This window comes from Homo sapiens, chromosome 9 (assembly GCF_000001405.40).
Source record: "Homo sapiens chromosome 9, GRCh38.p14 Primary Assembly".
NCBI lineage: Eukaryota > Metazoa > Chordata > Mammalia > Primates > Hominidae > Homo > Homo sapiens.
The window spans coordinates 133,955,546-133,978,146 of NC_000009.12; the positions used below are offsets into that span (position 1 = coordinate 133,955,546).

General features: G+C 54.3%; 1 protein-coding gene across 9 annotated transcripts in view, besides 14 other annotated features; it reads right to left on the reverse strand.

Annotated features, from left to right (window-relative positions):
• VAV2 (vav guanine nucleotide exchange factor 2) overlaps positions 1-22,601 on the reverse strand; it is a 230,431-nt gene that overhangs the window by 193,652 nt on the left and 14,178 nt on the right. The window lies entirely within an intron of this gene.
• Positions 1,653-2,229: an enhancer, noted in NCBI's record as "H3K27ac-H3K4me1 hESC enhancer chr9:136822320-136822896 (GRCh37/hg19 assembly coordinates)". NCBI's record gives its function as "activates a minimal SCP1, AML or CMV promoter by ChIP-STARR-seq in naive H9 embryonic stem cells {active_cell/tissue: H9 hESC(naive)}" and the evidence as "EXISTENCE:reporter gene assay evidence [ECO:0000049][PMID:30033119]".
• Positions 1,834-1,943: an enhancer, noted in NCBI's record as "active region_29260". NCBI's record gives its function as "activates an Ori minimal core promoter by ATAC-STARR-seq in GM12878 lymphoblastoid cells {active_cell/tissue: GM12878}" and the evidence as "EXISTENCE:reporter gene assay evidence [ECO:0000049][PMID:35858748]".
• Positions 1,994-2,043: an enhancer, noted in NCBI's record as "active region_29261". NCBI's record gives its function as "activates an Ori minimal core promoter by ATAC-STARR-seq in GM12878 lymphoblastoid cells {active_cell/tissue: GM12878}" and the evidence as "EXISTENCE:reporter gene assay evidence [ECO:0000049][PMID:35858748]".
• Positions 2,230-2,806: an enhancer, noted in NCBI's record as "OCT4-NANOG-H3K27ac-H3K4me1 hESC enhancer chr9:136822897-136823473 (GRCh37/hg19 assembly coordinates)". NCBI's record gives its function as "activates a minimal SCP1, AML or CMV promoter by ChIP-STARR-seq in naive and primed H9 embryonic stem cells {active_cell/tissue: H9 hESC(naive and primed)}" and the evidence as "EXISTENCE:reporter gene assay evidence [ECO:0000049][PMID:30033119]".
• Positions 2,807-3,384: an enhancer, noted in NCBI's record as "NANOG-H3K27ac-H3K4me1 hESC enhancer chr9:136823474-136824051 (GRCh37/hg19 assembly coordinates)". NCBI's record gives its function as "activates a minimal SCP1, AML or CMV promoter by ChIP-STARR-seq in primed H9 embryonic stem cells {active_cell/tissue: H9 hESC(primed)}" and the evidence as "EXISTENCE:reporter gene assay evidence [ECO:0000049][PMID:30033119]".
• Positions 3,385-3,961: an enhancer, noted in NCBI's record as "H3K27ac-H3K4me1 hESC enhancer chr9:136824052-136824628 (GRCh37/hg19 assembly coordinates)". NCBI's record gives its function as "activates a minimal SCP1, AML or CMV promoter by ChIP-STARR-seq in naive and primed H9 embryonic stem cells {active_cell/tissue: H9 hESC(naive and primed)}" and the evidence as "EXISTENCE:reporter gene assay evidence [ECO:0000049][PMID:30033119]".
• Positions 4,540-5,115: an enhancer, noted in NCBI's record as "H3K27ac-H3K4me1 hESC enhancer chr9:136825207-136825782 (GRCh37/hg19 assembly coordinates)". NCBI's record gives its function as "activates a minimal SCP1, AML or CMV promoter by ChIP-STARR-seq in naive H9 embryonic stem cells {active_cell/tissue: H9 hESC(naive)}" and the evidence as "EXISTENCE:reporter gene assay evidence [ECO:0000049][PMID:30033119]".
• Positions 5,116-5,693: an enhancer, noted in NCBI's record as "H3K27ac-H3K4me1 hESC enhancer chr9:136825783-136826360 (GRCh37/hg19 assembly coordinates)". NCBI's record gives its function as "activates a minimal SCP1, AML or CMV promoter by ChIP-STARR-seq in naive H9 embryonic stem cells {active_cell/tissue: H9 hESC(naive)}" and the evidence as "EXISTENCE:reporter gene assay evidence [ECO:0000049][PMID:30033119]".
• Positions 5,906-5,955: an enhancer, noted in NCBI's record as "active region_29262". NCBI's record gives its function as "activates an Ori minimal core promoter by ATAC-STARR-seq in GM12878 lymphoblastoid cells {active_cell/tissue: GM12878}" and the evidence as "EXISTENCE:reporter gene assay evidence [ECO:0000049][PMID:35858748]".
• Positions 5,986-6,055: an enhancer, noted in NCBI's record as "active region_29263". NCBI's record gives its function as "activates an Ori minimal core promoter by ATAC-STARR-seq in GM12878 lymphoblastoid cells {active_cell/tissue: GM12878}" and the evidence as "EXISTENCE:reporter gene assay evidence [ECO:0000049][PMID:35858748]".
• Positions 14,500-15,384: an enhancer, noted in NCBI's record as "H3K4me1 hESC enhancer chr9:136835167-136836051 (GRCh37/hg19 assembly coordinates)". NCBI's record gives its function as "activates a minimal SCP1, AML or CMV promoter by ChIP-STARR-seq in naive H9 embryonic stem cells {active_cell/tissue: H9 hESC(naive)}" and the evidence as "EXISTENCE:reporter gene assay evidence [ECO:0000049][PMID:30033119]".
• Positions 15,385-16,268: an enhancer, noted in NCBI's record as "H3K27ac-H3K4me1 hESC enhancer chr9:136836052-136836935 (GRCh37/hg19 assembly coordinates)". NCBI's record gives its function as "activates a minimal SCP1, AML or CMV promoter by ChIP-STARR-seq in naive H9 embryonic stem cells {active_cell/tissue: H9 hESC(naive)}" and the evidence as "EXISTENCE:reporter gene assay evidence [ECO:0000049][PMID:30033119]".
• Positions 16,309-16,368: an enhancer, noted in NCBI's record as "active region_29264". NCBI's record gives its function as "activates an Ori minimal core promoter by ATAC-STARR-seq in GM12878 lymphoblastoid cells {active_cell/tissue: GM12878}" and the evidence as "EXISTENCE:reporter gene assay evidence [ECO:0000049][PMID:35858748]".
• Positions 18,131-18,220: an enhancer, noted in NCBI's record as "active region_29265". NCBI's record gives its function as "activates an Ori minimal core promoter by ATAC-STARR-seq in GM12878 lymphoblastoid cells {active_cell/tissue: GM12878}" and the evidence as "EXISTENCE:reporter gene assay evidence [ECO:0000049][PMID:35858748]".

Consider the following 22,601-nt stretch of genomic DNA (forward strand, 5'->3'; position numbering starts at 1 on the left):
CCACTCCCCACGGTCCTCCCCACCTCCTTTCTCCCCACTCCCCCCATGATCCTCCCCACACCCCCACTCCTCCCCCCTCCCCACCACGCTCCTCCAACTATCCCCACTCACCCCATGCTGCTCCCCATTCCCCCCAAAGCTCCTCCCCACTCCCCCACACTCCCCCCACGCTGCTTCCCACTCCCCCCACGCTGCTTCCCACTCCCCCCAACGCCCCCCCCACGTTCCTCCCCACCCCCCCACTTGCACTCCACTCCCACTCCTACTCCTCCCCACTCCTCCCCACAGCTCTGGCCTCCCCCAGCCCGAGGGGAGCCCTCTAAACCCTCCAGCTCAGGCTGCTCCGTGAAGCTCAGTTCCTGCCGCTTCCGCTCAGCACAAAGGCACGGCCCCTGCTGGAGGCCCCCGCTCCGGGGAGCTCTCAGACGGGCAGCCAGCACCTCACTGCCCATCTGCTCCTTCCCTGCTTACTCGCAGAGTCAAGACCTGGAGCCCACGGGGCCAGGAGGCACAAAGCACAGCTTCCCAGGTGACGCTGGACAAGTCGCTGACCCTCCTGGAGCCTCAGTTTCCCCAACCCAGTGGCTCTGAATGAATTCCCTGGATTCCTGAGAAGGAGGGAGCTTCCTCACTGGTTCACAGGGAGAGAGGGAGGGAAGGGGGTTCTGACAATTAAAAACAGGTCTGCAAGTCAGGAACTCGATGATCTCCAGAGGTGCCATGATCCCCTCGTCTACCCAGCCTCCCCTGGGCCCTGCAGCCCCTCCCTACCCTGTGACCCTCAGCCCAAGCCCCTGGGGAGGGTCTCTGGTTCTCAGCTGTGGGGTTGGGCCCAGCGGGTCTGGGGGCCTGGTGGGGAAAGGGTGTCTAGGGTACTCTGTCTTTCTACCTTTCTGAGTTGTTTCTTCTTTTGCTTTGTTTTGTTTCGTTTTGTTTTTTTTCCAACGAGTAGACATTACTTTTAGAATTTCTTAAAAAGTTATCTCAGCTTTGGGTTGGGTTAGGGAGGAGGGAGTCCTGGGAATGTATAAAAAGCACGCAGCCAGTTAGTTCCTGAGAAGTCAGAAAATGCGAAGATCAACTGAGAAGCTGTACTTTCTGGAAATTCCAGGCGAACCAGCACCAGGCCCCTCGGCTGGTGGGCAGAGCACCAGGGGGCGAGGGAGCGGGAGGGGGATTCCCTGCTGCCAGGCCAACAGCTGGGCCAGCCAAGGTCAGGAATGCTGCAGCTGCAGCCTCGCCTTCCGCCCCCACCCAGGCGGGAGCCCAGTGGGAGGGAGGCTGCCCCTGCCAGGGCCTGGGACAGAGCCCTCTGTGGGGGACAGGCCAGGCAGGAAACCCGGCCGTCCTCAAGCAGGAAAGCTGGGCCAGAGCTGGTACTTCAGCAGGGAGCTGAACTCCAGTCCTGGGCGCACCTGTTTGCAGTCACAAAAAGGGCAGACTGCAGCACCCACCCACCTGCCCAGCTCCCCACCCAGCTCCCCACCTGCCCGGGGTACCCAGGACTCTCTCCAACGCCACCAGTGTCTCTCTGGTTCCTCACTCTGTGCAAGCCTACCCTCTGGTGCTCTCCCGGTTAGGATGATCGTCCCTGCTTTACCAGGTGGGGAAACTGAGGCTCGGCCTGGCAGTTACGGGCCTCCCCTGTACCAGCTGCTGCAGGTCCGGTCTCATTTCACCAGGGAAGGATGTGTGCCCAGGACGCTGCTCCCTGGGATGAAACGGGTTTGTTTTTTTCTCCCAGTATAGAAATAACCCTGCCTGGATGAGGGCAGGGAAGTAGAATAACATGAAACCGACAAGAACTCCCATCCTAAAACACCACTAACCACTGAGGGCGTTTTTCTGTCGTCTCTTGACTCTGGGTTTTTAGGGGTTTTTTATGTGTGTGTGGTGTTTTCTACATATTTGACTACTGGGAATAATATGGCATATTGCGTCCTGGTGCCCCTTCGCTGACAGCACAGGTGTCCCAGCTCCCTGCCTCCCCGGCTGCAGGGCAGGGCGAGGAGGGGAGGCCAGGGACATGCGGGCCTGGTACCTTCCAGGGCAAGAGGGACGTCATCCCCGTGGGCAGAGCAGGAAATGGAGGAATGTTGAGTTCCCTGCACCCGCTGTCACCGTCACAGCTGGCCCCACCTCAGCCGGGACACCCTGCCTGGGCCACTCCAAGTGACTGTCACAACCCGAGAGCCTATGGCCAAGATGAGCTCCACCAAGTAAAAATGGTGGAGTGTGGGGAAAAGCAAGAGAGATCAGAGTGTCACTGTATCTGTGTAGAAAGAAGTAGACATGGAAGACTCCATTTTGTTATGTACTAAGAAAAATTCTTCTGCCTTGAGATTCTGTGACCTTACCCCCAACCCCGTGCTCTCTGAAACATGTGCTGTGTCAAACTCAGGGTTAAATGGATTAAGGGCGGTGCAGGATGTGCTTTGTTAAACAGATGCTTGAAGGCAGCATGCTCGTTAAGAGTCATCACCACTCCCTAATCTCAAGTACCCAGGGACACAAACACTGCGGAAGGCCGCAGGGACCTCTGCCTAGGAAAGCCAGGTATTGTCCAAGGTTTCTCCCCATGTGATAGTCTGAAATATGGCCTCGTGGGAAGGGAAAGACCTGACCGTCCCCCAGCCCGACACCCGTAAAGGGTCTGTGCTGAGGAGGATTAGTAAAAGAGGAAGGCATGCCTCTTGCAGTTGAGACAAGAGGAAGGCATCTGTCTCCTGCCTGTCCCTGGGCAATGGAATGTCTCGGTATAAAACCGGATTGTACGTTCCATCTACTGAGATAGGGAAAAACCGCCTTAGGGCTGGAGGTGGGACCTGCGGGCAGCAATACTGCTTTGTAAAGCATTGAGATGTTTATGTGTATGCATATCTAAAAGCACAGCACTTAATCCTTTACCTTGTCTATGATGCAAAGATCTTTGTTCACGTGTTTGTCTGCTGACCCTCTCCCCACTATTGTCTTGTGACCCTGACACATCCCCCTCTCGGAGAAACACCCACGAATGACCAATAAATACTAAAGGGAACTCAGAGGCTGGCGGGATCCTCCATATGCTGAACGCTGGTTCCCCGGGCCCCCTTATTTCTTTCTCTATACTTTGTATCTGTGTCTTTTTCTTTTCCAAGTCTCTCGTTCCACCTTACGAGAAACACCCACAGGTGTGGAGGGGCAACCCACCCCTTCAGTGGAGCCAACAAGGATGCTGCAGAGCACAGCTCCATCACCACCTGCATTCATCCATTCATCCTTCATTCATTCATTCCTCAATCTTGTGTCTGGTCCTACTTTGTGCCAGGCTCCAGGCACCAGGAAGAAAGCCCTGGGCCCTGCCCACAGGAAGAGACAGTCACAACCCGAGGTTCCCAGGCCAGGCCTGCGAGGTGCTCCCTGCCCCGCCCCAGGTGTTATTTTTGGAGGAGGCGGTGGGGGCCTCCCAGGGAAGTGAGAGGTGCCGAGAAACAGCACAGGCCACTGCACCGGCCACAGCCCCAGGGGCCCAGGCCCAGGCAGGGCTTGCAGCAGAGACAGCCCCAGATGATGGGGTTCCTGACTGAGCTCTCCTCCATGCTGACAGCTACTGAAAATGGCAAATCCATAGGCACTAGAGATGGTCCCACTGCCACCAACAGTCCTCAACCCCAGGCTGCAGGAGAGATGCTCAGAACCTGCTGGGCCAAGCCCCTGGCTGTCACCTGGGGCAGCTGCTGCACGGAAGCCACAAGAGAGGCACAGCTGGGAGGCACAGACCCAGGCCCTGCACCCCGACCCACCTCACTCAGGCCTCCGCTCCGGGCTTCCCCAACGGTGACCTCCCCAAGCTCCTGCCCACCCTCTGCGCCAGACTGCTCCTTCCCAGGGTGACCACCTCTCAAGCTGTTCCTCTCACCACCCCTTTCACACCCCATTCTGCTGCAGGCCTGAGCTTTCAGGGCAGGCTCTGACCCCTGCCCCTCCCTACCAGGGAGCCCAGGGCACAGAGGCACCAAGCACCCCGTGACCGTCTGGACGGAAGAAAGAGTAAGCAGTGCAGAGGCTGGACTGTGCACCACGTCCCCTATCTTGTCCTGACTCCCAGAACCTCCAAACGTGACCTGATTTAGGAAAACGGTCTTTGCAGATGTAACTGAGGTAAGGACCTCAAGAAGAGGCCATCCCAGGTTAGGGTGGGCCCCGAATCCAATGACCAGCATCCTCTTAAGAGACAGAAGAGGAGAGAGGCACAGGGATGAGGCCCTGAGAAGATGAAGGCAGAGGCTGGCCAGCCAAGGAGGGCCCAGAGCCGCAGGAGGTGGGGGAGGCAGGGGGACCCTCCCCTAGTGCCTCTGGAGGGAGGGGCTGCAGCCCTGATGTCCCTGAGAATTCGGACCTCTGGCCTCCGGAACTGGAGGAGAATGCACGTTTGTTGTCCAAAGCTCCTGAGTTTGTGGTCATTTGCTGTGGCAGCCACAAAGCACACAGTGAGAGCCGGGAACACGGGTGCCCCCAAACCTTACAACCGCCAGGCCCTCGTCTCTGAGGCATCCTCTTTGCCATCGCCCCTGCCCCGGGGCTACCGCTCATTGTTCCACTCTCTATCAGGAGAAAGAACTGTGAAAAAGCAGCAAATGAACCAAGCTGGGGCCGACAGTCCAGCGGATCCCAGCAAGACAACGCGTTCCCAAAGGCATCGCTGCAGGTGCACTGTGAGGTCAGGGCGCCCTCCGGGACCAAGCTGGGCCAGAAAGTTCTTATCTGTGGGGGTTTTCATCATCTCTCAGTTTAAATTCTCAATCTTCCTGCCTGCACTGGCCACCTGCTCCTTGGTCTCTGGCAAGGTCTCCACACTGGACAGAGGCCCAGGGGAGCTGGGGGACCCCACTGGAGCCTCACTCCCTGCAGGCTGACCCTGAGTGCCGGCCACGGGAGCCTCTGACTCCCACATGCATGGGAGGAGTCATGAAAGTGGCTCCTCAAAGCCTCTCCCCCAAATCATGTCTCCGCTTAATAGCGGCCGCCAATTATTTCCCAAGCCAGGGGATCAAGGACTTATCTGCGGAGAAAACGGGAAGTAAAGTGCATTCTTTTCCTGTTCACTAGGAGTCAGTGAACGCCCTGCTGACTGGCACAGAAAAGGGAGGTGCCCAGTATCCAGGCCAGGCTCTTTCCTCCCCCAGCCCCGGCATGTGGCGCTTTGTCTGCCTGACTCTGTAATACCCTTTGTGGAACGCAGGAGTCCCGAACCCAGAGAGGAGCTGCAGCCTCCCTGAGGGAAGAAGAACTCTCATAAGTAAAGCTCAGGGACCACCTACTCCACACTGGCTGGTGCCAGGCTCCCCGGGGACAGAGCCAACGGGGCAGGAGGCCGTCATGGGAAGGGTGCTCGAGCCGGCCTTGGAGAAGCCCAGGAGGATGGTGAGCACAGAGGCAGGAGGGCGTGCTTGGAGAGGAATGGTGACCACAGGTCTGCCGCCTTGCAATGCGACGCCTGCCTGGGAGCGCAGGTGAGGGAGCAGGGGCCTCCACTGGCCCACACCCGGCACACATCACGGGCGGCCCCAAGCTCTCCAGGTGGGAGCTGCTGAGCGCTTTTAGTTAGCCCAACACGGACCAAGGCCACCTCGGCTTCATTCACCAAGCGGTCCCCAAGAAACAATCACTGCAGTCCAACAGAATAGTCAACCTTTTGATCTCAGAGGAGTGTCCATTAAGAGTAGGGTTCCTCACTCTCAGAGCAGACCTCCCAGGGACCCCCGGCCAGGACTCAAGCCGGCCAATGAGGGCTGAAGCTTCGGCCTGTGGCCAAGACACCATGGGCAGTGGAATGAGCAACGTGCAGTTTTGCACCCAGAAACTGGTCAGGCTTCTGATGGGAACGGAGGTTGGGAACACCAGCATCTGGGGCTGCAGACCAGAGGGCCCTGGAATCCCCTTCTCCAACCCAGTCGGGTTTCAGTGACCCAAGGTCAGAGGCATGGAGGGAGCCCTTTCCCACCCCCCGCTCAACAGGAACACAGCTGCTTCACCTCTCTGGGGTCTATAATGCCCTCTGACCTCACAAAGACCCACGGGGCTGGTTTGGGAGGCCCAGCCCAGGTGCTCCAGTCCCCAGAGCACGCATAAGCCTCAGCCAGTTTTACTTCCCATTGCAAACCCCTAGCCGGTTTGCCTGCGAACTCCCAAGCCAGCTGCAGAAAAGACACAGGACACAACCACGGCCCAGTGGCTCAGGGAGAAGACCCGGGCTTGCATGATGTACACCAGGGAGCCCACAGGAGCAGAGTGGCCCCTCGTTCTGGTGGCCACGCAGGCCTAGGCTGGGAACAGGGAGACCCTCACCGTGAGCCTCATCCACCCAGAGGGTGCCCCCACCCTGACTCCTCACCCCACGGTGGCCCCTGCCAGAACCCAGCATCATCCCCCATGCCGGGTGCTGGGGACCCTCTTCCTGAATGGTCCTCAGCCACCACCATCCCCACCTTGATGGCCTCATGGAAGCCAGAGGCTTAGCACTGACATAGCAAAGCCAGCTGGCTCAGCACTGGGGGTGGAGGGAATGAGCAGACAGAACCCCACAGGAGTTCCAACCCCACCCTGCCCACCAGCTCCTCTATGGGACCCTCCTGGGCACAGAGGGGGATGAAGGGGTAACAGGTAAGGATCTCAAGATGAGGCCACCCAGGATCAGGGTGGACCCCAGATTCAATGACCAGTGTCTTCTGAAGGCAGGAGGGAGATGCAGGGAAGCCCCATCTTCTAGGAGGGCCTGGACTTGAGCTCCACACTCAAGTTGGCCAGCAGAGTCCAGCCATGCCCACAAGCAGCTCTCAAAGTGGCAGTCCCCTGTCAGCTGGGGTAACCAAGGTAGGCTTTCTATCCAGAGGCAGAGGGGTGCGGGTGTCCCTGCAGAGAGGAGCTGGTGGGAGGAGCTGGGTCCTCCCTACTCCCCTGGGTCTTGAGGGGCTGCTCATCCCCCAGCCCAGGGCACCTGGGCTGCTGCGGGGGTCCTGCAGATCAGGGTACCCTGGGACGCCCACCCAGGCCTGGCTCCAGCTCTCCAAGCACAGTTAGCAGAAGCCCCTCCCCGCCCCACCCCCCACAAAGCTCCCGGTGCTGGGACTCGGGGGGCTGTGAACACCAACATTTTAGTGATAATTTCATCAACATTAAGGAAATTGAAAGCACCATTTGATTTGAGCTCTACCGAGTGCATTAATTCCTTGAATGGTTTTCGAGATATCATTGTTTGATTTTGCAGGTTTCAACTTTCCCTTTTATGTTATTAAGAGTATCTTTTCTGCTTCAAAACCACATTGAGCGCTTGGCTCCATTCCTAGGTTTTCCCCAGACCTCTGACCTTCCTCCCTCCTGAGGTTCTTTCATGGCTGCTAAAAGTCTTCTTTTTCCAGAGCAAATTTTGCAAATCTCAATTTCGCCAAGAGGTTTGACTTTTCATCCACTTTAGTCAATAATGTGATTGGGTACAGCTTTATTAACAGTCACTTTTATTTTGGACTGATTATTTCTACCAATAAGCATCTTAGAACTTAATTAAAGGTGGTCATTATGTCTTGGAGCAAAGGCCCTTTGCACGGAAACTGGGATGGTGCCCGGCAGAACTCGGGGTCGAAGCTACAAGAGCTTCCCCAGGACCCAGCACCAGGAGGCTCTGTGAAGACAGTATTCCTCTAGTAAGTATCAATTAATGATCAGTCAATCAGGGATCGGAGCCCTCAGCAGAGTCAGCAGCCCAGGATTACTAGCACGGTCAGGAAGACCCAGGAAACGCCACTGACCAGAACCAAGGGAGAGAGGGCACGGAGGCCATCAAGCAGGGAGGGCTGGGGGCACCCAGGGTGGGCAGAGACGGTGCAGCCTGTCCTCATAAGCTGGCTCGCTAAGGGTGTGTGTCAACAGAGAGCCTGCACGTGAGCTCCACACTCCAAGTCGGCCAGCAGGGTCCAGTCGTGCCGACAGGCAGCTCTCAGGGTGGCTATCCCTGTGTTGGGGGTAACCAAGGTAGGCTTTCTACACAGCAGGGCTGTGGGCATCCAATCAAAAGGGCTTGGTCTGGTCAACTCCAGAACTTCCAAGCACCAGAAAGCCATTGAAACAAGAATATAAAACGCCACGTTGTATCACATCCAAGGACTGTCACACGTGAAACATGGCATGATTTTATGTATCGCCAGGGGAAAAAATGCCTGTGAAACTCTAATTATGCCTCTGATTACAAGGCTTCCATGACCCACTCTGGCTTCAGAGATGTCAGAACATGCAAGGAAAACTATGTCATCTTGGAATCAATGAAATAAAGTACATGGAAAACCATTTAGGATAGGCAAGGATATGAGAAAAGCTGAGTCCTAAATGGAAAGTATAGCACAGCCCAGTTCTGTAAATCAAACAGGAGTGACCACAATTAAATGTAAATAGCTCTCCTCTAGGTGATAAGAAGACTAGTAAACTTTAAAAAAAATTATTCATTCATATATATATATATATATATATATATACATATATATACATATATATAAATGAATAGGCCAGGTATGTTGGCTCATGCCTGTAGTCCCAGCACTTTGGGAGTCCAAGGTGCAGATTATGTGAGCCCAGGAGTTCAAGACCAGTCTGAGCAACATGGCAAAACCCTGTCTCTACAAAACATACAAAAATTGGCCAGGCGCAGTGGCACACGCCTGTAGTCCCAGCTACTAAGGAGGCTGAGGCAGGAAAATGGCTTGAGCCTGGGAGTTCAAGGCTGCAGTGAGCCCTGATATATATATATATACACATATGTATATACACACACACACAAATACATGTATTTACATTTGTACAAATATATACACACAAATATATGTATTTACATTTGCATAAATATATATAATACACATATTTATGTATATAACATATATAATTTTGCATGCGTATGCTTTTTATAATGGATGTCATATATGTATAATGAAAAATACATTTTAGCACAACATAAAAATTATAGGCCAATACCCTAACGAACATAGATGCAAAAATCATCCACAAAATCCTAGCAAACCAAATCCAACAACACAATATAAAGACCCCTTACCATGATCAAATGGGATTTATCCCAGGAATGCAAGGATGGCTCAACATACAGAAATCAATAAACATGATATATCACATCAACAGAAGGAAGAACAAAAACCATATGATCATCTCAACAGATGCAGAAAAAGCATTTGATAAAATTCAATATCATTTTGGGATAAAAACCCTCAAAAATCTAGGTACAGAAGGAGCACTCCTCTACACAATAAAGGTCATACATGAGAAACCCATAGCTAACATTATACTGAATGGGGAGAACCTGAAAGCTTTTTCTCTAAGAACTGGAACAAAATAAGGGTGCCCACTTTCACCACTCTTATTCAACGTAGTACTAGAAGTGCTAGCCAGACCAATTAAACACAGGAAAGAAATAGAGGGCCTCCAAATTGGAAAGCAGGAAGTCAAACTGTCCCTGTTTGCAGACATGATCTTAGATATAGAAAACCCTAAAAGCTCCACCAAAAAAACCTAGAACTGATAACAAATTCAGTAACATTGCAGGATACAAAATTAACATATAGAAAACAGTAGCATTTCCATACACCAACAATGGACTAGCAGAATAAAAAAAAAATCAAGAAAGGCCAGGCACAGTGGCTCATGCCTCTAATCACCGCACATTGGGAGGCCAAGGTGGGCAGATCACCTGAGGTCAGAAGTTTGAGACCAGCCTGGCCAACATGGTGAAACCCCATCTCTAAAAAAAAAAAATAATAATAACAAAAGTTAGGCAGGCATGATGATGGGAACCTATAGTCCCAGCTACTAGGGAGGCTGAGACAGGAGAATCATTTGAACCCACGAGATGAAGGTTGCAATGAGCCAAGATCATGCCACTGCACTCCAGCCTGGATGACAGAGCGAGACTGTCAAAAAAAAAAAAAAAAGTCAAGAAAGCAATACCATTTATAACAGCTACAAAATAATTAAAATTTCTAGGAATAAATTTAACCAAGGAGGTGAAAGATCCCTACAAGAGAAACTGTAAAACACTGATTAAAAAAATTCAAGCAGTCACCAAAAATGGAAGACATCCCATGTTCATGCATTCGAAGAATTAATAATTTGAAAATGACCACACTACCAAAATATCTATAGATTAAATGCAATTCCTATCAAAATACCAATGACATTCTTCAAAGAAATAGAAAAAACAATCCCAAAATACATATTGAAAACACAGAAGACCCTGAAGTGCCAAAGCAATCCTGAACAAAAACAACAAAGCTGGAGGCATCACACTACCTGACTTCAAAACACACTACAAAGCTACAGCAACAAAAGCAGCATGATACTGGCATAAAAACAAAACACATACCTAGACCAATGGAATAAAACAACCCAGAAATGAATCCACACATTTACAGTCAACTCATTTTCAACAAAGGCACCAAGAACATTCAGTGGGGAAAGAACAATCTCTAATAAATGGTGATAGGTAAACTGCATATCCATATGCAGAAAAATGAAACTAGACTTCCATGTCTCCCCATATGCAAGAATCAAATCAAATGGGATTAAAGACTTACCCATAAGACCCAAAACCATAAAACTACTGAAAGAAAACATTGGGGAAATGCTTCCGGACATTGGTCTGGGCAAAGATTTTTTGGGTAAAACCTCAAAAGCGGACAGAACAAAACGAAAAATAGACAAATGGGATTACATCAAGCTAAACGCCTCCACACAGCAAAGCAAACAATCAACAGAGTGAAGAGAAAACCTACAGGATAGGGGAACAAATCTGCAAACTATTCATCCGACAAGGGATTTTTAATAACCAGAATACATAAAGAACTCGGTCCAGCGAGGTGGCTCATGCCTATAATCCCAACACTTTGAGAGGCCGAGGCGGGAAGATGGCTTGAGGCCAGGAGTTCGAGACTGGCCTGTGCAATATGGCGAGACCCCGTCTCTACAAAACATACAAAAATTAGCCAGGCGTGGTGGCACGCACCTATTGTCCCAGCTACTTGGGGGCTGAGGTGAATCACTTGAGCCTAGGAGGTAGAGGCTGCAGTGAGCTGTGATCACACCACTGCACTCCAGCCAGGTGACAGAGCAAGATCCTGACTCAAAAAACATAAAAAATTTAAAACTTTAAAAAAAAAAAGTCAACTTAATAGCAGGGCCGAGCACGATGGCTCATGCCTGTAATCCCAGCACTCTGGGAGGCCGTGGCGGGCAGATCACTTGAGGTCAAGAGTTTGAGACCAGCCTGGCCAACACCGTAAACCCTGTCTCTACTAAAAATACAAAAAATCAGTTGGGCTTGGTGGCGGGCGCCTGCAATCCCAGCTACTTGGGAGGCTGAGGCAGGAGAATTGCTTGAACCCAGGAGGCAGAGGTGGCAGTAAGCCAAGATTGCACCACTGCACTCCAGCCTAGGTGACTGAGCAAGACTTTGTCTCAAAAAAAAAAAAAAAAAGCAAATAGTAATGATAATAATAATAATCTGATTTTTAAACGGGTAAATAATCTGTTATTAAGACATTTCTCAAAAGACATACAAATGGCCAACGGGCATGTGAAAAAATGCTCAACATCACTAATCATCACAGGAATGCAAGCCAAAACCACAACGAGATACCATCTCACCCCAGTTATAATAGCTATTATCAACAAGAAATCAACAGATGCTGGCAAGGATGTGGAGAAAGGGGAACACTAGTACACTGCTGGTCAGAACGTAGACTAATACAGCCACTATAGGAAACAGTACAGAGGGTCCTCAAAAAACTAAAAAGAGATCTGCCTGATCCAGCAATCCTACCACCAGGCATGTAAACAAAAGAAAGGAAATCAGTGTTTGAGATATATCTGCACTCCCACCTTTACCGTAGCACTATTCACAATCAACCTAAATATCAGTGAATGAATGGATAAAGAAAATGTGACATATATACACAATAGAATACTATTCAGCCATGAAAAAGAATAAAATCCTGTCATTGCAGCAATGTGGATGGAACTAGAGGTCATTGTTAAGTGAAAAAAGCCAGACACAGAAAGCTAAATATCATATGGGCCGGGTGCAGTGGCTCACACCTATAATCCCAGCACTTTAGGAGGCCTAGGCTGGTGGATCACTTGAGGCCAGGAGTTTGAGACCAGCCCGCCCAACGTGGTGAAACCCCATCTCCTACTAAAAATACAAAAATTAGCCGGATGTGGTGGTGTGCACCTGTAGTACCAGCTACTCAGGAGGCTGAGGCAGGAGAATGGCTTGAACCCACGAGGTGGAGGTCGCAGTGAGCCAAGATCACACCACTGCACTCCAGCCTGGGCAACAGAGGAAGACTCTATAACCAAAAAAAAAAAAAAAAAAAAAAAACCTAAATATCATATGATGTCTCTCTCATATGTTAAAGCTAAAAAAGTTGACCTCATGGAGGGACAGAGTGGAATGATGGACATCAGAGACTGGGTGGGGCGACAGGAAAGTGAAGAGAGATTGGTTAATGGGGGCAAACATGCAATTAGACAGGAACGAGTCCTAGTGCTCAGAAGCACGGCAGGAGGATTACAGTTAACGATAACTTCTTGCATATTTCAAAATAACTAGAAGAGAGGACGTGAAATGTTCCCAACACAAAGAAATGCCACATGTTTGGGATCATGGGCATCCTAATGACCCTCATTTCATCATTACACACGGTATATGTGTATTAAAGTGTCACACATACCCCATAAACAATGGCATATGTGTATCAAAGTGTCACACATACCCCATAAACAACGTACAATTATTATGTACCAATTAAATAAATAAATAATACATTTGAAAAGGTTGTGGGGGGGAAAAACACCACCAAAAGGCAAGAGAGGCTCAGAGATGCAGTTGTCAAAGCTCTGGTACCACCCATGCACCAGGCAACATGAAGAGGAAGAGAAACGCGCTCGGGGCCAGTCCCATGGTCCCCAGGGTCCCTACCCATGGGGCCATCCCCGGGGGCCTGGACAGAGCTGCCGGTCCTCTAGAGCCTACACGACCCGGGCTCTGGGGCTGCCTGGGGACATCCTCCAGCCACACACTGACCCATCACAGAGCCTTGTAGCCGGGAGAGAGAGCCACCATCGGCCTCTGCCTCTCGTGCAGCTTCAGACCATGGCACTGTCCTCTGTCAGCCCTGGGCTCACTCCTGGGACCTGCCGGGGTAGGGCCCTGTCCCCAGCTCAGATCTGGAGGGTGTCTCGAGACCCCCGGCTGGCTGGCTCAGCGGCTCGCGACAGCACAGCCACCCTCGGTTGCAGCAAATGTGCCTCACTGAGAACCACCACGAGGCTATTTCCCGATTAAAGCTTTAACAGATCAATAGCAATAAGTGAGTCCCCCAAAAATCAATCTAAGGCAGTGCCCTTTTCTAAGAAAAACCACTCTTTCCACAGGCAAAAACCACTTAAAAATAAGAGACAACTGTTTTGGGTTTTGAGGCAGTTTGGCCGGGTGTCGGTGAAAGCCGTCTAGTTGCCTGAGATGAATCCCACATGCCGGGATTCACACTTCCCCCGAGAGCTGGATTCCACCGTGCCCGCCGGGCCTGCGAGGACGAGAGCTGGATTCCACCGTGCCCGCCGGGCCTGCGAGGACGAGCCTCTGCACCTGCTTCCCTCCTGCCGGATGAACTGCGGCTTCTCACGGCTGCGCTGCTGGCATGGTAGAGAATACAACGAACAGGGAAGGAGGGAGGATCTGGAATTCAGTCTGTGCCAATCAGACGTCTCTCTCCAGGGATCTGACAGTGCCAGAGGCTGCTAAGTTTGGTCACTCCCAGGCTGGGGCCAGACCCACCAAGACCACTGACCTCCCACCTTCAAGTCCAGCAAACCTGGACACCAACCAGCATCAGCACCACTGAGACAAGAAGCCTGAGGCCAACCAGGGAACCTCAGGGGTGGAGCTGAAACACCCCAACCCTGACCAGAGCGGATTCCAGGAAGGCTGCTGGGAGAACCCAGACATCCCTGCAACCTTGGCCAGTGGGGGACTTGAACCCCTAGGGCCAACTCCAGATGAGCCCCACTGTCCATCGCACTGCTCAAGCCTGACCCCAGAGCACCCTCTTCATCACCCAAGTCCAATCCACCCCAAGCCCACCCACTCCTCCTGCGCTCCAGCGGGGCCGTCCATCTCTCTCCATTCCCACTTCTCTCCCCACCCCCCAGCCTGGACACCCCCATCTGCCTCTGCCCCAGCCTCTGGGGCTCCAGGCCTCCCTCTCCAGGTGTCCCTGTAGTGCAGACACAGTGGAGCTTTCCAAAGCCAAATCTGAGCACGCCACATCTGCACCAACCCTGCCCAGGGTTCCCTGGCACACCCAGGATGAAGCCGGCCCTGCCTCCCTGCAGCCTTCAAGGCAGTGACTCAGAGTTCCTGCCACCCCCCAGACGTGCAGGGTGGTCTGCACCCCCTGGCCTCAGCACCCGCTGCTCCTGCCATCCTGGTCCTCCACCCTCCCTGCCCACTCAACAGCTCCCACAATGGCCACACTCCTCCCGCTCCCCTCAGACTCTGCAGGACTCCTTGAAGGAGAGACCGAGTCTCAACCATCTCTCCCTTGCCCCAAGGGCCAATCACTCACAAGTGCCAGGTCCTCAGCTCCCTGGGCACAGGAAGGCCTGGGGAAGGGCCCCACCCGATGACCCCACACAGCAAGCGATGTGAGGAAAACCCCCGCCCGCCATGTCTTGAAAATACAAGTCTCGTAAAAAGGCAGTTTCCCAAGCGGAGGCTGGGGGATGGCACCACGTTCGGTGCTTGCTGGGAGCCAGGGACCTTGGCCCACACGAGGCCACCGAGGCTCACGGGACCTCACCAGACCTCACCTGACCACCCCCACAGCCCGTTCTACAGAGGAGCCCACAGAGGCGTGGCAGTGGCGATCACGAGGCTGTCCACGGCACCCACAGCCCTGTGGTTGGTGTACCTGGTCCCTTTGACAGACACATGTGGGGCTGCAGAGATGGAGGTGGCTCCTTCCCTGGGCCCAGCCTTGCTGGCCCAGCACCTCCAACTTCGAAGCCCAGCCCCAGCCTCTGGCCTAGCTACCAACAAGAAAGCTGCCTCTCCTCAGGCCCCAGGGGCAGGCAGCAGAAAGCCTCGGGCCTGTCACCTGCCCCACAGCCTCTCGTGTCAAATGGTCTCGTCTGTCCATCTGCAGGGCAGCCCTGAACTAGCAGGCCACTCCTCAATCACAGTAAATGCAAACGGCTTCTGTACTCTTGCTTTAATCTACAGCCTGGCTCTCCCTGGTTAACAGATGTTTCGTTTAAGCAGCTAAATTACCACAAAATACACCCAAAGAGATGACAGGCCAATTTCTCCCAAGGTTCATTTGCATGAGAAGGGAATGGTGTGTGAAAATTCTATCTTTTCCTTTTTGAAATAAAAAATATATATATATTACAGGTGCAAGTCACAGTATCTCAGGAGCCCGCGGTGCCTCCTGCGGGGAGTGGGGACACCAAGGTCTGGACCGGGAAGCCCCGGGTTCCACTCCCACCATCGCTTCCCCCAACGAAGTCAGGCAGAGTCCGTGTGCCCTCTGACCCTCAGTCTCCAAAGCTTGCAGATGGAACAGTCGTAACTGCTGCTGTGAGGCCTGTCGGGGGCAGGGAAAGCCCTCTGGGGGTCAGACCCACTTGGCCCCTCGGTGTTTAACTGATCCTGATCGTCACCATCTGGGTCGCCACGGCAGCCCAGGGGCAGCCGCAAGCAGGCACCGTGGGACCGGTGACTCCACTGTGCCCCAGGAACCCAGGAGGGGGCCACATGTTCTACGCCAATGACTCTCTAGCCTAGAAACTGTCCTGGCCAGGCCCACGGCCCACACACACACAGAGGGGCAGCCCAGGAGCCAGCCCACCCCTCCCAGGCCACCAGACGGCAACACCAGAGAAAGGCTGGGGGGCCTGAGCTGCTCCACTGGGGAGGTGAGTCGTGACTGTGACACTGGCCTCCTGCCCAGGCCACCCATTTCATACTGCAAAGGACAACCATGGCCAGCATGTGGAGGCTGCTGACATGAAGGGTCAAGGCCAGCGTGGGAAGGAGCAGGGCAGGACAGGGGCCCCAGGAGCTGGTCCAGGGTGTGGGCTGAGCCAGTCACGGGTCCCCAGCTGTCAACAAAACCCACAGCCTGGGGCCACCTGCACCACCCGGGTCCTGAATCACAATGGGGAGGCGGCCAGGGCTTCCCCCAACAGAAAGGGCAACTCCTGGTCCAACAGCATCCCCGTAGAGTGCACAGACCTCTGCAGGCAAAAAAGGCCCCTGGGGCTGCAGATCCCCGAGCCCTTGGTCACTTCAAAGGGCAGAAAACAACCTCAAGGAAGTGGACGGCATGGCCCGGATTCACCAGAGATGCAGATAGGCACAGAAGGGAAGTCTTCTGCCCCAGGTCACACAGCGCGGATGCAGACCAAGCCCCAATTCCTGTCCCCAAAGGCCATTCTGATTCATCCATAGCCACACACACCCACACACACCCCAAAGTCCCAAGAATTCATGCTGCCAAGAATTCGGGCCGCACAGATCAGCCAACCCATAAAACACACACATGACTGCTTCGAAAGGTGAGGTTTATGGCCTGGATTTATTGACGTGGTTTTTCACTCCCAGATAAGGCACCTGTCCTCAGCGGGCACGCCCCTCAGCTCCCGCTAACTAAACAGTCAGGAATTGCTGGGCACCCGTCCGTCCGACCCTTCTCTAAGAACATCTCCAGGCTTGCAGCCCAGGCGCTGCGATGCTGGGGCAGGGCAGGGGTGGGGGAGGCTCCAGGAACACACTGCGTCATTAGCTAATGCAGAAAAATGGAGATTCACCCAAAGAAAGCAGCGGAGAGCCCATGTCATTATTAAAGGCAAACACTCTTTGCCGCTGGCTCCCGCAGACACATGTAGCCGAGGGGCGGCCCGCCTCCTGCAAGCCTGAGCCCCCCTGAGAAACATCTCCTTAAGAAACAGAAGAGGGAACTTGTCACCCAGAGCATGGAGCACAGACAGTCAGAGTCATCGGCAGGGCCTCCCGCAAGAGTCCTCACAAAGCAGATCCGAAGGCAGCGGAGGCTCTTGCCACTCACTCCAGCGAGGGGAACCTGACTGCAGACACCCGCCCAAGCCCTCCTCCCACCCACTCCTGGAGGCGTCAGGCAGAAATGATGGCCCCACTTTACAGATGAGGCAACCAAGGCCCAGGCATGATGCAGGTGGCCCGAGATCTCACGTGCCCACTGGACCCATCTTCCTTCATCACTTAACCTGAGTTAGGCACTGGCTACTCCCATGATGAGGGGTGTCTCACAAGTCCATGGAGAAGCTCCCCATCACCACTTTGAAGATGCTAAGGGAAGGGTGGGAGGCGGAGGAGGAGGGCACTGGGGAAGCCGTTGCCTGGAACACCAACCAGCCTCCCTCCTGGAGAGAGATGGGAACGGTAAGGAATCCCCAGGGAGCCCTGCCTTGGTACCAAGGCAGCGGGCAGTGAAGACCCAGTGCCACGGAGGGCCCAAGGAAGGTCCATGGGCACAGGGGATCTGCAAGCCCCCCTGTCTGCACACAGTTGAAGAGACCTCAATGCCACCATCTGTCTGGCATCTGGCCCGCCTGGCCCAGCGCTCAGCCCGCCCAGAGCGTCAACCCCCTGCATCCTCACACCCACTCTGCACAGGAAAAACTGGCGCTGTACCGCGAAACTCGGAGTTCAGAAACGTGCCAAAGTCCCACAACCAGGAAAGAACAGGCTTCTTCTGGTGTATGGTAACATCAGCCTCCCTCCCATGACCCCCGGGCAGGACTGGAGAGTTATCCTGTCACCCCGGCATCCCTATGCCGCTGGCCTCTGGTCCTGACCCTGGAGGTGGGCTCTCCCCGGAAGGCCATCTGCAAAGGGCAGCGGTGCAGAAAACCACTCCCAGAGAGGAAGGAGACCCAAAGAAGCTGGCGCAGACGAGCTGACAGTGCCCAACCCACGCACGCCCTACAGAGAAGGAAGATGACTTCAAAATAACACGACACTCTCCCTCCCAATTCCAGTGATCAAGGTGGCAGGTGAGGAACCCTAGATACCCCGCACAAGGGTGACGCCCTCGCCCTTTGTCCCTGGGACATTGCCAGTGTGTGGCTACCCACGCCTACCCACCCATCAACACCCCCATCATGAGAAAGGACACCTGCGTGTCCCTAAAGAGGAAGACAAAATGCAGGGCCCCCCCAGGCCTTGGGATAAGCATCAAATTCCCACTCAGCTGACTGCTGGGAAAGAACCTCGGGGCAGAAAAACAACATGGCAATTCAGGAGGAAAATGAGGACGTGGAAGCAGGATCCAGCAGGTCAGAGTCCTGACCCCAGATTACCAGGCCAGGAAGGTGGGGGCTGGGGTGTTGTGAACCTGTTCCAGAACGCTCCCTTCACGCTCACCTGGCGCACTGTCACGCAGGGCTCAGCTAAAAGGTCACTTCCTCCAGGAAGCCCCAGACCCTGCCCCACCCACCCGCTGCCACATTCCTGGCAGGGCCCAGCGTCTCCTCACACTCCCTCCACACTGCCTGTGTGGTATCTGCCTGTGTCCTCCTGGGCCGCAAGCAGGGCTGCCTGTCTGCCCGGAGCCAGGCACGGGGTAGCGGTCAGTAACGCTTGCTGGGTGAGTGAATACCCAGGCCCACCACAACTCCAGCTCCCTTGCACAAGGGCCTAGACAGGGAGGTGGTCCCAGAACGGCCCACAGTGCCCCTCCAACCTCCAGCCTCCCCTTGAGGCAGCCACTCGCCGGGTGGGAGTGGACGTCAGGTGAGGTGACCAGGGCACAAAGCAGCACAGTCACATCAGCAGTGGTCTCCGTTTGCTACCTGCTTTTGCGCTGGGCCAAACACACACCTGCACCCTGTGTCAGGTGTGACCACTCCACATCCACCCGGGGGACGGGGAGTGCACCACCTTCCTACTGTGGAAATGGGTAAACTGAGGCTCAGAAAGGTGGAGCAAGTTGCCCAAAGGCATGAGCAAGCTACAGTTTCCAAGCTGGACTTGGAAACAGCTCCCTTAACGTGGTCCTCTTCCTCACTGTGCCATTCACCCACTCAGAAAATCCACACACTCCCTGCGCCCTGCACCCAGCAGTGCGCCGCGGACAGATAGGTCACGCCCTGCACCCAGCACTGCACCATGGACAGACAGGTCAGCACACAAGGCTTCTGCTTCCAGGACTTCCAGACAGGACACTCACTTTTCTGACTGGCCCCCGAAGTCTTCCAAGAACCTCCAATCTCTCAGGCCAACAGTTTCCCTCAAGGTCTGTACCTTGTGGTACCGTGGGGAGCGGGCCTCACCCACCCTCCTGCAGGGCCTTCCACGTGATTCATGCCCCTGGCAGAACCCAGCGTGCGTCATGGCCCAGAGCGAGTGTGGTCCATCTCAAGGCCCTTTTTACGGCCTTTTCCTGCTGACGCCAACCAAGGCAGGTGAAAGCACCAACAGGCCGTTTCACAGAATGAAGGGAATGAAGGCCTCATTTCATCAACTCCTACCCCGAGGCAGAACCCATCCCCTTACTAGGAAAGGCAGGCACCCCAGCCTGCCCCGGCACCCCCGCCATGTCCATGGCCTCCCCCACCAGGAGCTAGGAGGGCTGGACACAAACCCATATCCTCGCTCAGTGCTCAGTGGGCCAAGCCTGTCACCCACAGCAGGAACTTGCTGGGTCAATGTTATCTGCCTCTCTCCCTCCCTACCTGGCCTCCCACACTTGGCTTACCTCCCATCTTGGGGTCTGTTTCTGGGGGGCCCAGCCTCAGAGCCTTACAAAACAGGATTAAATAAAACTTGCCAGCCCTGGGCAGAGACTGTCACTCACACAAACCCCTCAATTTTCAAAACACGACATGTATTGCGGAAAGTATTAGCAGCAGCAACAGCCCCAGTTTACAGATAAGGAAACTGAGGCTCAGAAGTGATGTGGCCAAAATCACACAACTGAGAAATGACAAAGGACACAAAGTCTAGCTCCCTCCAAAGTCTCTGAGCCCCCAGCCTGCCTGGCATGGCCAAGGGAAGCCCACACGGGGCTGCTCACCCAAGAACACAGAGGCACAGTGCCCTGGGTCCAAGAGAGTGTTGAGCTCTAAGAGAATATTTAAATATCTCATACCTGTATGTTCACCTTTATACCTATGCAGTCACAGAATAGAACTTTCAATATTTGTCAGGAGAGAGGGACCCAGGAAGGCAGACGGGTCTCCTCCAACCCTCCCACACTTCTTCTCTTGTCAGGGGACTTTTAAAAATGCTATGTTGGCCAGGCGCCATGGCTCACACCTGTAATCCCAGCACTTTGGGAGGCTGAGGCGGGTGGATCACGAGGTCAGTAGTTCAAGACCAGCCTGGACAAGATGGTAAAACCCCATCTCTACTAAAAAAAAAAAGAAAATACAAAAATTAGCCAGGCGTGGTGGTGGGCACCTGTAATCCCAGCTACTCGGGAGGCAGAGGCAGAGAATTGCTTGAACCCAGGAGGCGGAGGTTGCAGTGAGCGGAGATCGCACCACTGCACTCCAGACTGGGTGACAGAGCGAGATTCCATTTCAAAAAAAAAAAATGCTATGTTGGCCGCCTCTAGGGTCATCCTCCCACAAGGGGATCCTTTCTGCAGCAGCTAGGTTAGGATGGGGTCCCTCAACCCCTGATGGAGGAGGCGACAGTGAGATCCTGAGTGGACTCTGGGACCAGCATCCTCTGGCCAGCAGTCCAGGGGGGCAGTCCCCCCAGCCCCGCCCAGCCCTGCCTCTCCTGGCCTCACCCTCGATGGAGGAGGAGACAGTGAGACCCTAGATTGGAGCCCTAGTAAGAAGATGGGCTCTGCCTCGGGGTTGCAGTTGATGAAACGAGGCCTTCATTCCCCACAAGGGAGAGGCTATTTATTTTAATTGTGGTAAAGTACACACAATGCCACAAACCTTCCGCACTATGGAGTTGTGGAACTTTTTCATGCCTGGCAAACAGACCCCCAAGCCCCTGAGAACTCTCTCCCCAGCGCCTTCTCCCGGCAGCTACGCATCTGGCTTTCTGTCCTGCGACGGAGCTGCTATTCTGGACGTTTTAAGAGAATCACGTGGGACTTGTCTTTCAGGCCTGGCTTCCCCGCCTTAGCATTCCATTTTCCAGGTTCATCCACAGATATTCTACTGCATGGACGGACTCTGTGTGGATCCCCCATTCATCCACTGAGGAAGCCACTCCTTTTATCCCCATCCTACAGAGAAGGAAACTGAGGCTCCAGGAAGGTCAAGCTCAAAAGCACACAGTGTGAGCAGCTCCAGGACTCCAGCCTAGGTCCTAACCACACTGCCCTGTGCCTGGACACCCCAAGGCTGAAGGGGGTGCCTCTCCTACAGCCAGGGACTGCGGCCAGAGGGGAGCGACCACGCAGCGAGGCTGAGGTGCTGGGAGTTGCGGAGCCCAGCTCCAGGCCCAGGCCACGCCCAGCCGCCCTGCCCCAAGCCTGCCTCCTTCCAGCTCTGGAATGAAAACAAATAAAACCAAGAGGGACTTCAGGCAGAGTGAGGCCCCCCCAGCATCCCACGAGGACCTCCGGCATCCAATGGGTGCCTGGTGTCCATTTGAGGAGCAGCCCAGCAGCTGTAGATGGAACAGCTCAGATCTGAAGGGGGTCTTGGCTTTCACCAAAATGACTGCGGGATCATTTCTCTCTCCCGTCCCAGCAGAAAGATGAGCTGGGGCCTAGGGGAGGGAGGCACAGATGGCCCAGTCACAGAGGGCAGGAGGGTCTCAGGATGCGGCGCTCATGAGCATGAAGGACTAGAACCTTCCGCCACCCCAGGGGGCCTGGGACACAGAATGTTGCCAGACAAGGATTGTCTAGGCACCTTGTGCACCGGGGACACGTGGCAATGGCCCTGGGGCCAGTCACCCTCCACGCATGACAGCTGTCACTTACCCAGGCAAATGACATGACAGGCGGTCCATCCCCATCCACGACAGCTGTCACTCACCTGGCACCTCTGGTTCCTGACAACAGTCAGAGGTGGGACATTGGAGCTGCAGGCAAGTGTCCAGAGCCTGCCCCTCAACACGCAGCCTGCAGCCCCTGCCGGACGCCAACCACAGACACGCCAGAGAACAGAACAAGGCAGAAAAACCAAAACATAGGCCTCAAAACTCGGGGGAGCAGCCGAGGTCAAGGGGGCAGCACCTGAGTCAGGAAGGCCACGCCAAGTCCAGGTGGCTCAGTACCTCAGGCCTCTGCCCCTCAGCTGGCAAAGGGGATGGGGCGTCCACCTGCCCTGGGGCACGCAGCTCCCACGCCCCCTGCCTCTGGAGATGTCCTACGTGTATGCGTCCACCTGCCCTAGGGCACGCAGCTCCCACGCCCCCTGCCTCTGGAGATGTCCTACGTGTATGAGACAAATGTGATGATCCCAGAAATGTGGCTGAAAACTGGACACACATTCAAGACCAGGAGCGGGGAGGCACACGGTGTTCGAGGGTGAGGCCAGGACAGGCAGGG